Source organism: Homo sapiens, chromosome 4 (genome assembly GCF_000001405.40).
Source record: "Homo sapiens chromosome 4, GRCh38.p14 Primary Assembly".
Taxonomy (NCBI): Eukaryota; Metazoa; Chordata; class Mammalia; order Primates; family Hominidae; genus Homo; species Homo sapiens.
In genome coordinates, this window is record NC_000004.12 from 86,383,434 (window position 1) to 86,399,375 (window position 15,942).

At 37.0% G+C, this 15,942-nt stretch overlaps 1 protein-coding gene across 6 annotated transcripts in view; it reads right to left on the reverse strand.

The window, feature by feature from the left end:
• MAPK10 (mitogen-activated protein kinase 10) overlaps window positions 1–15,942 on the reverse strand; it is a 583,670-nt gene that overhangs the window by 373,029 nt on the left and 194,699 nt on the right. The window lies entirely within an intron of this gene.

Here is a 15,942-nt window from a genome sequence, read left to right on the forward strand (position 1 = left end):
AGCATAGGATAAACAGGTAGCTAAACAATTTATGAACTAAACTTCCTTCCTGGTTTTTATTTTTATATTTTTCCATGGAGTATATTAATGCCAAAAATAAACCAGTTATTAATTTTATGTAGAATATGACCTAAGTATGAACCAGTGAAATAGTTATTGTACTTTTATATCACTTCAAGCTGAAATATTAACCAAAGGTATTCTAATTAAAACACCAAGACATGTCTTCAAAACATAGAAACTTGGCTTGTTTTCTAATAGAGAATAAAATAATATTTTCCTCTTTAATTTTATTTTATCCTTTAAGCTTACATTTGATAAAGGTAGAAAGTTTACTTTCTAAAAGAATTAAATACCATTTACAAAAAGAAAACTTAGGTAATCATATGTAGAGATAACAATTTACTTCACACACAATTGAAAGGCAAAAGGGCAAAATGTGTGACTAACATGCATATTAATTCTGAAGAATTAATGGCCTGATTTATCTTCTTTGATTAATTTTTAATCCTTCAAATCTCTTTGCTCTCATTCTTCGATCTCTCAGAAGACATATCATTTCTTTCATCCTACATTTCGAAGCCTAATAGACTAGTTTGTACTCAATAGTTTCTACAGAACATTTAAATATTACAAGTGTTGGAGAAACATAAAATCTCTCCTTACCTTTTACCGTGACTTCATTTATCTGGGCAATCTCCACAAATCTAGAAAGTAGCTTTGATGTTTTCATCAGACATTATTCATTTATAAACTTTAGAGTGCCATCTGTGTGCCAGGTGCTACACCAGGAACTGGAAAAACTGCAAGAACAAGTCCCTGCTATATAAGTTTTCAGGCACAAAATAAATTTAAATAAATTTAAACAGAAAGGTTTGTGTATTCAGGGCAAAGATAATAGCAAGTACAAGAACGCTGAGATGGGACAGAGTGTAGTGTACTCAAACAAACAGCAAGAAGGCCAGCGATGGATGGGAGAATGGTAGGAAGTGAGGCCCATAGGGTAGCCAGAAGGCTTGGTAAGGACTCCCCCGAACTTTATTCTATGTAGTGGGAAGCTATGAAGTGCGGAAAGCGAGCCTGATTTACACTAGGACCACTCTGGGAGCAGAAGGCATGTGCAGACTAGAGTCTAGGTGGAAACAGTGGAGGCAAGGACACAAATTAGGACATCAGCTGAGGCAAGAGATGATCATTACATTAGAGGAGGACAGCAGGGGCAGATAAAAAGAGAAGCGGCTGCACTCAGAATATGCTTTCAATGTGGAGACGACAGATTTGCCAACTGTAGGATTAGATGTACAAGCTGACAAAAGTGTTTTATTTATGATATTTCACAGAAATTATGACAACTCTGTTTGCAACATTTTAGTAGAGCAAGAAATTAAGTAGTACACAGCTATATTGAAAGAATACAACTAAAGTTTTAACAACTTTCATCTAAACTAGAGAGAAAAAGGAAAAAACAGATATAGTACATCTAAACAGATATGATACATTTAAATATAATATATCTAAACAGATATGATGCATTTAGATATATCTAAACAGATATGATACATTTAATTACACCTAAATTGTTTTCTTATATATATAATGCTCTTGGGCATAGCATTAGCATAGTAGGTTTATTGAGGATGTTAAAAGTACAGAAAACACTTTTTTTCATACTTTGCCCTTCATTTACCATTCCTTTACTACATATCTTTCTCAGTTTTAGAAAATAAAATAAATTTCAATGAAAATAAAATAAATAATTAATAAATAATAATATTGCCAATTTATTGACTAGCTACTGGGGAAAGAATTGGCAAATTCCTACTTGTTATTCAACTATTTTAGTTTACCAACCATTGCTGGTTATTTTTGCCAGTTAGCAATTTAACAACCATTGTTAATTTACCATTTAAAAGTTTAATGAGGCAAAACTTGGCATTAGAAATGGCATAACCTTTCCAAAGGAATTCTTTACATGTAGTGAAATTTCAAAAACACTCTGTGGTTGACTTTAACAGTGTTCTTTCTCTCATCTCACTGCTTTGCTAACATTTCTTATACATATTTCTTTTTCTTTAAAATATAAACTATGTAATCATTGGTCCTTTATAAATTAATCATATATCTTTAATATGAACTGATAAAGAATGGTTATTTCTGAACATCTATTTGGGTTCCACAAATCACTTCCCAAGAATTTTAAAATGAAGAAAACAAATCTGAGGTTTAAACTTGTAAAAATCCACACAGAATGAATACGATTAGCTCCCGGATGGGTAAATCAAAAGATTCCCTGTAGATGCAAAACCAAAGAATTTGGAACACCCAACACTCCATTAAAATTACCTGGGTATAATCTCTATGATGTCAGGCTGAAAATTGACTATAATTTAGTGAAGTGAAACAATTAATTGTATTGTGTCTAATGTAAACAAAGACTATGACTAGCAAGAAGGTGGTTAGACTATAGCACACATGCATACACACAGAAAGAAAACCCTAGTACTGTAGTATTTATCCAGTCTTAGCCAGGTAAAGAAAACTCTGTGACTCATAAAAAAAATTATTTAAAAGACATGCAATTTATCGTCCAAGATCTGCCCCCTGAAAGTACAATGTACAAAAGAATTGCATCCTTCTTCATCATTTCTAATTACGTGTTTAAAATGTGCCTTCTCCCACCTGATTACGAACTCCATTCGGAGGGAAATGGGGGGGAATCATGTCTACACAACACTACATCTCTAGTACATTCTGTTAGAAGAGAATTGCGATACTCCGCTCCTGGTTGACATTGGAGATACGATTCGCTAAGCATACTTCTAGCATCTCTCTGTCCATTTACTCACTCTTCCCTGGGGAAGAGAAGTGGAAGCTTGAGAAAAGTTAGCAGGAATGCTCAGGTGTACCATACTCCCTCTTGGGAGTTGCCTGCCCACAGCAGGAAGTATCTCCCTTCACCTCTAGAGCCTAAATCCCTGTGGAGAAAAGATCTGCCTGCCCTAGTCCAGGACTGCAGGGACCACATGGGTAGGTCTTCCTAATTCTGAGAGTTGGTTCATTGGTTCGCTTGGGTCTCTCATGAATCTATGACTCTAATCTTGATCTATAAATGATAGAGATGATATTTTGCTTCCATCTGCTTTTCAGAGTTTTTTTTTTCTTAAATTATTGAGATTCCAGGCACAGCAGGGGGAAAGGTCCTATTTACTGGCCCCCTTGAAACTCTAACACATAACACAATGTCTGATTCTCTGTAAATGCTTAGCAAATATTTCTTGAGCAACTGTAGAGATTAACACAAAAGGCTGATTCTACAAATTTAAGTTCTCTGCCCACAAAAAGCCTTAGTATACTACAGGCGGAAACTTGGAGGCTTACATCTTGGCCATCCAGTGCCCACTTTTCAGATAAAATAACAGAATGATCTGGGGCTCTGAGATCAAGATTGGGCTAGGATATCTTTGGAAACTGGGTCGAATGTGGAACATCATATGCCTCAAGACTGTGGTAGAGAGGCTGAGTAGGCTGTCTAAAAATACTATTCAATTTAAAGAGTGTACAGAAAGAAAAAAATCTGGGCAAGACACCAACAGGATAAAAATCAAGGAGATGGAAATGAGTAGTTAGAACAGAAGTCTATGGAAAAGACAAATTCTGGAGAAAAACGCTAATCTGGCTTGAAAATGGCTGCAGCATATTTTATTATGCACTTCATGGCTGGAAATGAAGCAGCCGGAGGGGCACAGGGAGCTGGTCACGTTACGGCTGGTTGTTTGGGGAAGTGGGCAATGATGATTGTCTCAGATAGGGAGGATGTCCTTCAAGCCCAAGAGCACAACGGAAGCACATTTTACTTGAATAAGAAAAATCATTGCCTGATTTAATTTTGCCAATGATTTTCTGCACTATTACTAAAATATACTCAGTAAAAACAGCCAACTATAAAACTCAAAATAATCAAGTTTTTACATTAAACAGGAAATTAGAGCTTCCTTTTATAATAAACAACTATTTAGGTTGTGCAAGGCATAATATTTATCAATTCACCCAGAATCTTGAATTATAAAACACATTTCCTGATGTTTATTTTTCCTCAACATCCAGGCTTGGACTGGAGCAAGTCCCTGACCACTTAACTCTTAATAGCTGACGCTGCCTCACCGCACCTCTATTCAATGTCTGTACATTATTCAAAAGAAGTGAAGGGAAAGCCTTGGTTGCCTTGGTTGTTTGGAAGCTATTATTTTCATTCTCCTTGTGTGGCAGAAGAAAAAAGACAGCAATGAAGGACCTGTCAATATGGAAAGAGTAAACTGAACTGACGTTTTTTTCAAGTAGTGAGTCTTTTTTCCAGGTTTTTTAGCCCTCCTCCTCCTATCAGTTGTTTATGTTTTAACTGGATCTATCTGGTGCTGATTTATATGAAATACTATTACTACTTGAGTATAACTAATGGCTTTAAGACAGTTACTTAGAGTAGCTAGAAAGTTGTCTCTTTAAAAACTATTTTAAAAATATATACAAAAGTATCCAGAAAAAATAATATATAATATTTATAAAAATATTTATCAAATATATAATAAAAATATAAAAAACAATAAAAGTACTAAACAAATGGGAGATTATCAATGTAAATTTAAGAAGTTGATAACTGTACTGTAATCGGGTTAGAAAATCCACACTGAATACTTAAAGAACCACAATCTGTGATGTAAGTTGTAATTTACTTCAAAAGGTTTAGGAAAAAAATGTGTGTGTGTGCATGTATGTGTCTGTGTGAGAGAGAGAGAGAATATATATAAAATATACACGTGGCTTACATAAAACTTTCCATGATATTACATGGCATTATATATTACTTATCGTTTGTCAGTAAACATTCATATATTTTATAGTTGTGACTAAGGATATAAAAATGTTTGAGTAGTAACTTATTTCATATAACTCTAAAATTAATAACTGAAAAATATTAATAACCAAGTACAGTAAATATAAAAGCAAACACAAGAAGAACCCAGCAGATACCTCAGTGTCAATTCAGTAATATGCCTAATCATACATAAGATGACTTTTATTTACTGCTCCTTATGGGAACTTGAGTTAAAAGGGCAAGAAACAAGTATCTGTAGCTTGCTGCTTCTAGAAATCCTGACCACTGGCTTGATGTCACAAAACCTTAGCTGACTTACTTTTGTACTTCACTGTTATTGTATAACAAGTTAATTCAAGGATGGCGATTGAATCCATGTAAAAATGACTATATCCAAATCACTTTATGTAACCTTAATATATAGCATAAACATACATATAAAAATCAATATTAATAAATAATAGAAATTATATCCATGATATTTGTTTCAAAAGGAAACACAGATGCATGAAATGTACTCAACACAATAGGTCATCTCTTATTTCTAGCTCAAAGAACACTGCCTACCACAAAGTGGCACATAATAAATATTTGTTAAGTGAATAAGCAAATGAATTAATAAATGAATAAAACAAAATAATATATGTAATGTTTTTAATGCAAAAACTGGCAGATAGCATTCAATATGTGATATGGTTCAGATTTGTGTCCCCACGCAAATCTCATGTCGAATGATAATCCCCAGTGTTGGAGGTGGGACCTGGTGGGAGATGATTGGATCATGGGGCTGGATCTCCCGCTTTGGTGCTGTTCTCCTGCTGGAGTTCTCACAAGATCTGGTTGTTTAAAAGTGTGTAGCAGCTCCCCCCACCCTCTTGCTCCTGCCCTGGTCATGTAAGATATGCTCACTCCCCCTTTGCCTTCCACCATGATTGTGAGTTTCCTAAGGCCTCCCCAGATGCAGATCCTGCCATGCTGCCCGTACAGCCTGCAGAACCATGAGCCAACTAAACCTATTTTCATTATAAATTACCCAGTCTCAGGTATTTTCTTATAGCAGTGCAAAAATGGATTAATACAATATGATCTTTGTAATAAACTTAATAATACTACTGTATAACATTTAACTTTGTCCTAGCCATCATGAGACAATAAATTAGTAATTCTCAATGAAAGGGAGCATGCCACACTCCCCTACGGGATAGTTTTTAGAGTTTATTGTTTATCTTCTGTTTTTTTGCCTTTACTGACTGTTACTGTGATTGGCGGTCCAACTATAAGTTGGGACCAAGGGGACTGGGTGTTGTGAAATGTGTAGTACAGCCCCACAGAATGAAGAATTGTCCTGTGTTTTGTGCAATTTTATAATATCCAACACATGACAAACCTTCACATTTTGTCATAGTTTTCATATATATCAAATTTTCTAGGATTCTGACTACTGTATAGTAGAGGAAATATTGTATGATGCTTTATTTTCTTTGTGGAGGTACTGGGAGTTAGTAAGAAGTTCAGAGTATGTTACTAAAAGCAGTATCACTTGTGGGATTTGAATTGCTAATATTTCAAACAGATGAGTCTGCATTTATAGCTGTTGAATTCATGTTGAAAGAACCTCCCTCTCTCTCTGCCCCCATCTATCCAACTACAAATACATTTATTTGTCGCTTGTTTTAAAATAATAATTATAGAGAAGAAGGATTGACCATCAACTAAATATTGCCTTTTCCTAAATCTAAATTTATTCATTCCAAGTAAGGACAAGCATCTGCCTCTTTCCTTTTCTTTTCCAGTGGAGCCATGCTGAGTATTTAAATACTGAAATGCATATCATTTTACTACATACATAAAATTTTATTTCTCTCTTATTTCACAGTTTAGGTATTATATTGATTCTTTAAAATCATATATGCAGGTAGATTGTATTTCTATGAGTTTTATTCAATGGTAGAAAAGGAAGATGATAAAAAGATATTATTTAAAAAGTCTATTGGGTTGGATAGGATTGAAAACTACTGCACTTGATCCTATGAGATGCCAAAATAAAAGGCAGAATTTTCAAAACAGCTTTGCAACACTTTTGACACCTTAGAATGTAGAGAAAGAAGAGAATTGATGAGAACTATAGTTCCATACCCTCCCCTTCCCCCAAGCAACTTGGGCAGGATGCTACCTCTACTTTGAGCTAGGGTAGGGGCTTCCATGAGAGCACTTAGAAAGCTTCAAATATGTTTTCTGCAGTTGGAGACATGTGTGCCTTCCTCAAGTCTGAGAAAGCTAAAGGAGCTAGAAGAGACTGCCAGCAAGATAGAGGTGCCTATGTTTTGATTGACTGGCACTTTGAGAGTTGTTGAGGATAATAGATACATGCCCAGATATGGGTACAAGAGAGAGGGAACCCACACATCACCCTTTTATGTCCAACTTAGCCTATAGGATTTCCTAGGAGGACAGTACACATCCAATCGTGAAGGTCTGTGTGGAGTGGATCATGAATGCTAAGGGCTTGTGGGAAGGTGCTGAGCTTTAAGCCCAAAGCAATATATTTGCTCTTGTCAAAGAAGCTATCAATCTTCTGTCCATGTAGATATTATCTCTGGTATCTTACTAGGCTTGACTCTTTGAGAGATTAGCTCTCAGAGCCTGTGCCACATAATTGCTATCTGAGAAGTTTCATTACTTTATCTGTTTGCATTACCAGTGCAACCTTTTTAAAAATGTTAGAATATTGTTTAGGAAAGATCCTTTTATTTTCTCCATATTTGTACTCATTTTCAGATATGAAAGCTACACAAAAATCAGTTATGAAATTGAGGAAGATGAAACTAAAGATGCATCATTTACATTCAATCCTAGTTGTATATTTAACAGCTTCTTCTGTAAGCACAGGTTTAGTACATAAAATTATATTTGAAGTTCTCAAATTTGCATGTTACCAGAATGCAAGCCTCTGTAAGTATTATCATAGATCACCACTCCAATCAGAGTAAAAAGCTTTCCTTGAAAATTTTTTCTTTAAGATTAGAGCAAATGGAAACAAAATCCTTTAATACTTTAGATTTTTACCTTGTGGTCATACAAGTCAGAGTAGTTCAGTCTTGTCATATCATGCATGTATCTACATGCAACGTTTTTAACTGTACCATGATTGAAGAATAATAGAACCATCAATTCTAAGCATTCATGAATTTTTTGTCACTCCATATCAAGCCAAGTGTGGAGTGGAAAATGAATCAGAGACCTGATTCTATGGCATATAGAGACAAGGGGCAGCATACCTCGCCAGGCAGTGAGCTCTCTATCTCTGGGGACACTCAAGTGAAGGCAAGAATCCTTCATCTAGGACATGAAATTCCTGCATTGACTCTGAGATTACACAGATAAAGCTAATAATTCATATGCAACAAGACAGATATCACTTGTTAGCATGAGGAGGGGAGGTTGGATCCTGCAGAGAAATAGTACTAAAACAAGTGACGTGAACCATTGTCTTTTGATTACCCAGCATGCATTCACACTTACTTCCTTCCAGGACAAATAGCCCTTTCACATTCTCAGGCCAATTGCTTCAAGTAAAATTATCTCTACCTTAGGGATCCAGGATTGAAGCCCACCACAGGTTTAGCAGTACATTCCCTTCCCTGGCCACAGTGGCAATTTCAGGATTGAGTATTAGACCTATAAGTCAGGCTAATCAGGACCAATAAGCTCAATTCTAAAATTCCCTCTGCAGCAGGCTGGAAGTGGAGTATCTCTTACACTGGATCGGGTGTTATCATGCTGTGAGCCTGGAACTCTGCAAGGACAGCTGGCAGAGTCAGAAAATGAAGCCTATCAAGAGGATTCAGCGTATGGCCAGGCGCAGTGGCTCACACCTGTAATCCCAGCACTTTGGGAGGCCAAGGCAGGCGGATCGCCTGAGGTCAGGAGTTCGACACCAGCCTGGCCAATGTGGTGAAACTCCATCTCTACTAAAAATACAAAAATTAGCTGGTCACGCTGGCGCACACCTGTAGTCCCAGCTATTCAGGAGGCTGAAGCAGGAGAATCGCTTGAGCCCAGGAGGTGGAGGTTGTTGCAGTGAGCCGAAATCACACCATTGCACTCTAGCCTGGGCGACAGAGTGAAACTGTCTCAAAAAAAAAAAAAAAAAGAGGATTCAGAGTAGAAAAATAGCGGACTCTGAGTTCTGAACCAAGACACACCTGTTCAGTTACATAAGCCATCACAGTACTTTTTCCCTTTTTACTAAGCTATTTTGAGTTGTATCTTTTCTAACCTGCCTGTTCCGGCAAACAAAAAAGAAAAAAAAAAGGAGCAGACTAGCAGATCAAGTGGAGATTATAGTGTTCCATTCTATCCTCAGTACTAAGGATAGTGTCAGATACATAAAAGGTGCTCAATAAATACTTGCTGAATGACTGAAAAAAATGCTGCAAGCAGCAGGAAGAGCCAAGATGGCTTGGAAAAGGAGAGGGATAAGGAGGAAGTGGCTGGTGACTGTGTGTTGGTGAGGAGACTGCGTAGGAGTACAGGAGAGATTTTTAGCAGCTGTTATGAGTGCAAGACTTTGGGGAGATGGAGAGAGGTATAAAGAGAACTGTTAGGAAGTTTGCTCTATGATAAGCTGCATATAGTTTTCCTTACAGAAGGAAATATAACCTAAAATTCTATATATTATTCTTCAAGGCTTCTGGAGTCATACTTATGTCCTTGAATGTAACTTCTTGCAGAGGCTGGCTTTGAGGCAGAGCACACTTGCCAGATTTAATGAGGATTATACAAATGCATCTAAATGCTTTATGTGGAGATCAAATTTAAATGTATTGATAAAAACAGGCATATCTTGACTTGTCCTCAAGAGAAAAAATAAAAGGAACGGTTTTTACCCCCAAGCATAACTTCAATTAGAAGGTTAAGATGCATATCCAGTATAGCATGTTGATATTTATTTCAACAAATTCAACTCAATTTTTGGCCATCTAAGTTCTTTTCTTGCAATTTCCACTTCTATATCAAATCAATGATCTAGTTTTTTTTTTTTTAAGGAAAATAACTATTGTAAACAAAAAGAAAAAGTCTATTAAAGAATCAAGAAACTTGATTATACATTGACAGTCCTTCCATTTTTTAATAAATCTAGAAAAATATTCATGTTTACTTGTAACTCAATGTTTGTGATCAAAAATAAAGCAATGTTTCTAATGGAACCATTACCAGGCAAGCATTGACAAACTGAATATTTTACATACTGCCACTACAGCTTTGTGGCACTAAACTACAATGTTTTTTCTGAAGAAATCAAGTAATATTTTTAGCTTTTTTTAAAAAGACAATTCTATGTTGTGATGCTAACCAGAGCATCCTTTATTTAAATTCTGGTGAGGTACTGTCACTATATCTGTGGGTAAAGGGTACTTAGTAGAATAATAAAAAATGAAAGCAAGCTTGAAAGTCTCTCCACGACACCAGTGACAACAATAGAGACCTGACTTGAAGTTCCACAGTAACTCTCTCCCTGACCTTGAGTGTCTTCTTCACCTTCTGCATGTCTCACTAAATCACATAAGGTGAAGTACCTCTTTAAGAGTATTAAAGACCTACTCTGTTATTGCAACATTAAGAGCATAACACTTAAACACATTGGTGAAGAAAGAGAACATCAGATGACTAATAAGAAATAGGGGCTGGGCGTGGTGGCTCAAACTTGTAATCCCAGCACTTTGGGAGGCCGAGGTAGGCGGATCACCTGAGGTCAGGAGTTCAAGACCAGCCTGGCCAACATAGTGAAACCCCATCTTTACTAAAAACACAAATTAGCCAGGCTTGGTGGCATGCACCTGTAATCCCAGCTACTTGGGAGGCTGAGGCAGGAGAATTGCTTGAACCCAGGAGGCAGAGGTTGCAGTGAGCCCAGATCGCGCCATTGCACTCCAGCCTGGGCAACACAGCAAGACTCCATTTCAAAAAAAAAAGAAAGAAAGAAAGAAAGAAGAATTGATAATACTCAAACTTATTCCTCTTGAGCAAATAAAAATATGTCATACTTGACTTACCAATATTTCAGAATGAAAGCTATTGTCAGTGATTTTTTAGAGAGACTATATCACCAAACTACATATCAAAACTGAGAAAACATATATATCTTGAAAATAAAATAATTATTTACCCTTTGTTTAAATTAATTTTTGTTAGCTCCAAATTGTTTTTTGCTACAAATAATATTTAAAATAATTTTTAATTATTAACAGTGGTATGGGATTTTTTTCAGCTGAGAAACATTTATTTAATAGGTTTAAGGAGAAGAAGAAGATAAAGTTCACTTGGAAACCTGAAAACTCGGAAGATACAATGACTCGTGGAAAGGGATGTCAGGGAAAATACCATAAATGACAGACATTTTAGCATGCTTTCTATCTTGAGTAGGATCTCATTTATTTTAAAAAGTGAAGTGAGATTTGGATCTACAATGACAGAGTTTTCCAAACGTTAGCAAATCTTGGCTCATATAGGGAACAATGTTTGCACTATGCTCGGGGATAATGGATGAGGTTGCTCCTAGCTGAAGTGACAGCCAAAGGTTCTGGGCCACCCCCTGGCAAAACTCAGCTGCTCTAGCGGCTGAGGGTATCAATATATTCACGCACCTGTGCCCATTCTTTCACCATCTGTGGGGAAACGTTGCTCTCCAAAATAAAAAGGCATGTAAATCTTCCACCACTTCTGGGAAACAGCTCCATGTACACTCATTCACAGTATTGAGTCAATAAAAACCCCAGTATGTCATTGCAGCCTTCAATATTCCATAAAGCTATTTGGGGCCAAAGGGTACTATAAGCTCAGACTTGCATACAAAAGCAAAGGATGTTACCTTTGTTTTATAATCATACCAAAAAAGAAGGTATCATTAATATTATAGCTAAGGTCAAAATTCATATTTATTGGTTACTATTTAGTGTATATAAAAATTCAACTGCCTTATATTTGGACAACTAACCAAAATTAATCTCTAGCTATAAAATAAACATTTTCTCCTTATAATTCCTATTTTTTAGCTAGCCATTTTGATTAATGTGTTAGCTAACATGTGTCAACATTTTCTAAAATCATGCTTTCATGTAGCATCTAAGAATTAAGAAATATTAATATCAAAAATGCCAAGAGGAGCAAAAGAATGCATGATGTAACTGAATCATTATAATAAAATGGTTCAGCAATCAATCACCAGGTATTGATAGTTTTTGGGGCGGAGGGAGTTGTGGCTGGAGTGAGGAGAGGTTGCCAGGGGAGTGGAGATAATCCTACACAATGTCTTGGTCAGCCTGGGCTGCTATAACAGAATATTATAGACTGGTGGCTTAAAGGAGAGATATTCATTTCTCAAAGTTCTAGAAGCTGCAGAGCCCAAGATCAAGGTGCTGGCAGATTTCATTACTGGTGAGGGTTCTCTTCCTGGCTTGCAGAGGGCTGCTTCCCACTGTGTTCTCAAAGGGCAGAGAAAGGAAGCCCTGGTGTCTCTTCCTCATCCTGTATGAGCACTAGTCCCATCATGGGGGCTCCACCCTTATGGCCTCATCTAAACTTAATGATCTCCCAAGGGCCCTGCCTCCTAAGGCACACTTTGGGGATTAATGTTTCAACATACGAATTTTGGGAAGACACAAGCATTCGGTTTGTACCACATAAAACACACCATTCTCGCCATTCTATCTGTGCAGGCAGGAGCCTTTTTTACGTGAACCTAAGAAAGTAGTGTTTCCGGCCGGGCGAGGTGGCTCACGCCTGTAATCCCAGCACTTTGGGAGGCCGAGGCGGGTGGATCACCTGAGGCCAGGAGATCGAGACCATCCTGGCTAACATGGTGAAAGCCCGTCTCTACTAAAAATACAAAAAATTAGCCAGGCCTGGTGGCGGGCGCCTGTAGTCTCAGCTACTCGGGAGGCTGAGGCAGGAGAATGGCGCGAACCCAGGAGGCGGAGCTTGCAGTGAGCCGAGATCGTGCCACTGCACTCCAGCCTGGGCAAGAGTGCGAGACTCTGTCTCAAAAAAAAGAAAGAAAGTAGCGTTTCCAACAGAGAAGACCTAAAGCTCTTCCACCCAATACCATAGCCACTAGCCACAGGTGGCTGTTGAGCACTTCAAATGGGGATAGTCCAAATTGAGATAAACTATGTGTAAAATACACTCTGTATTTTCAGAACTTAGTACCAAAAAAATGTAAACTAGCATATTATATTAGGCCATTCTTGCATTACTATAAGGAAATACTTGAGACTGAGTAATTTATAAAGAAAAGAGATTTAATTGGCTCACAGTTCTGCAGGCTGTACAGAAACATGGCGCCAGCATCTGCTCCGCTTCTGGGAAGGAGCTTTTATTCATGAGAGAAGGCGAAACGGGAACAGGTATGTCACATAGCAAATGCTGGAGCAAGGGGTGGGGGGTGCCACATAATTTTAAACAACACACTATTGTGAGAACAGCACCAAGTCATGAGGGATCCACTCTCATGACCTAAACACCTCCTACTAAGCCCACCGTCAACACGGGAATAACATTTCAACATGAGATGTGAGCAAACTATAACACTTACTAGTAATTTTTATATTGATTTCATATTAAAATTATTACAGTTTGAGTTAAGTGTACACACTACTAAAATTAATTTCACCTATTTACTTTTTAATGTGGTTACTAGAAATTAAAATTACATATGTGGTTCACCTTGTGGCCCACATTATATTTTTATGGGACAGTGCTACCAGCCTAGAGCATGAACAGAATGAGGTAGAAAAAAAAAGATGAACACATAATAGAAAGAGAAGATGCTCTGGAAACAGATCAGGAAAGAAATATTTTTATTAAGCACATCTAAAATATTTATTGATTCCTCAGTGAGAAGAAATTATAAATTAAGAAGCACCCTGTGTGGTTGGTCTAACTTATTGAGAACCTGCGTCAGGTTCTCAATCTATGAGGTGAATTTAGTCATTCTTAATGAAACCTTTATATTGTTACCTTTATCAATTTCTCCTTCAAGTGTGTTACAGATAGATGGATATCTCTACTCCATGGAGTCTGACTATTGCAAAAGATTCTGGTGAAGAAAATGTGGCCACATTACAACTACATATTTCATGTAGTATTGCCAAGGGATAGAGAGTACTTTAAGACAGATGGTTAAATATCCCATTTTAAAGATTTCCAAACATCTTTGAAGAAGAGAGAAATGGTTGTTGGCATCTTTGCCCTTCTCAAAGCATTGAGAACTCCCAGGAGTGCTTGTTAACTTCCCCTGGGCTTCCGGGTGTGAGATCCCTTCTTTCCCCACTGATTGACTCCACCTACCATTTCCTCCCTGGGCAATACCCTTGTTCTTGCACCTATCATTCTGCCTTTTTCTGTATGTTAATAGGTATTTATTTGACCCTTAGCCTTTGCACTCAATCTATTCAAATTTATTCTGATATCCAATGATAAGGAAAGATGGAACTAGTTTGTGATTTCAGTTTTCCAAATGAATTTCCCAGATCATTACGTAAGCTCTGAATCTGCTATGGCAAAAAAAAAAAAAAAAAAAAAAAAAACTGGCTTTTTCTCTGTTCCAATCAATTGCCATGTAGAAAATATGATTCTTTTTTAAGAAGTGGGTACAGAGAACTCGTAACATGCAATACTCTGAAACTTTTGAACTACCTACTTTCCACTCTATCTGTATCCCAAACTATCACGACTCCTAACACTAGTCTTCAACTCAGTTCTGGGGAGATAGAGGGTGAGAAGAGACAGGCGCACAGGCAGGCAGACAGACAGACCACACAACAAAAACTTTGTTCTTCAGGTAATGAAGAAACACTAAAATTTAATTTTGGGTAAAAATGCCCATAATTAGTATTTCTAAAGATTCTCAAAAACAAACAAACAAAAAAAAAAAGAAAAGAAAAGAAAAGAAAAAAGGCCCAAGGATCTGGTAGATAATTATCACTAAGTATTTATTTTAGGTCAGATGCTACTTTCAGGGTTCTAAGGGAACCAACTCATTTGCATTCATAACAACTCTATGCTAGATAGTATTATTATCAAAGTCCTCTTTAAAATGACTGAAACTGAAACCCACAAAGTAAAATTCCTTTTCTGCAGTCAGGCTGCTAGTAAATAACAGAGCTGAGACCAAACCCAAATATTATGTCTGCAGAGTCCATGCACTGCCCTGCCTCTCTTAAGGATGAATTCAAGTCAAAAGATTCTTACTTACCGCACATTTTTCTTACAATATTAATGTACCTTGTTATTTTTCTTAATAATTTAGACTTTTATTTTAGATTCAGGTGGTACATGTGCAGGTTTGTTACAGGGGTACATTGCGTGATGCTGAAATTTAGGGTAAAATTGATCCTGTCACCCAGGTAGTGAGCACAGCACCCAATAGTTAGTTTTACAACCCTTGCGTCCCTCTCTTCCTCCCTGACAGTAGTCCCCAGTGTCTATTGCTACCATCTTTATGTCTATAAGTACCCAATATTTAGCTCCCATTTATGAGTGAGAATATGCAGCATTTAGTTTTCTGTTCCTACATTAATTCACTTAGGATAATGGCCTCCAGTACATCCATTTTGTTGCAAAGGACATGACTTTGTTCTTTTTTATGGCTACATAGTATTCCATGGTGCATAGGTACCACATTTTCATTATCCAGTCCACCGATGCTGGGCACCTGGGTTGATTCTGTCTTTGCTATTGTGGATACTGCTGCAACGAACACACACATGCGTATGTCTTTTTGGTAGAAAAATTTCTTTTCTTTTGGATACATATCCAGTAATGGGATTGCTGGGTTAAATAGTAGTTCTGTTTTCAGTTCTTTGAGAAATCTCTAAACCGTTTTCCACAGTGGCTGAACTAATTTACATTCCCACCTACAGTGTATAAGCATTCCCTTTCCTCCACAGCCTCGCCAACATCTGTTGATTTTGAGTCTTTAATAAAAGCTGTTCTGACTGGTGTGAGATGGTACTTCATTATGGTTTTGATTTTCATTTCTCTGATGACTAATGATGTTGAGCTTATTTTCA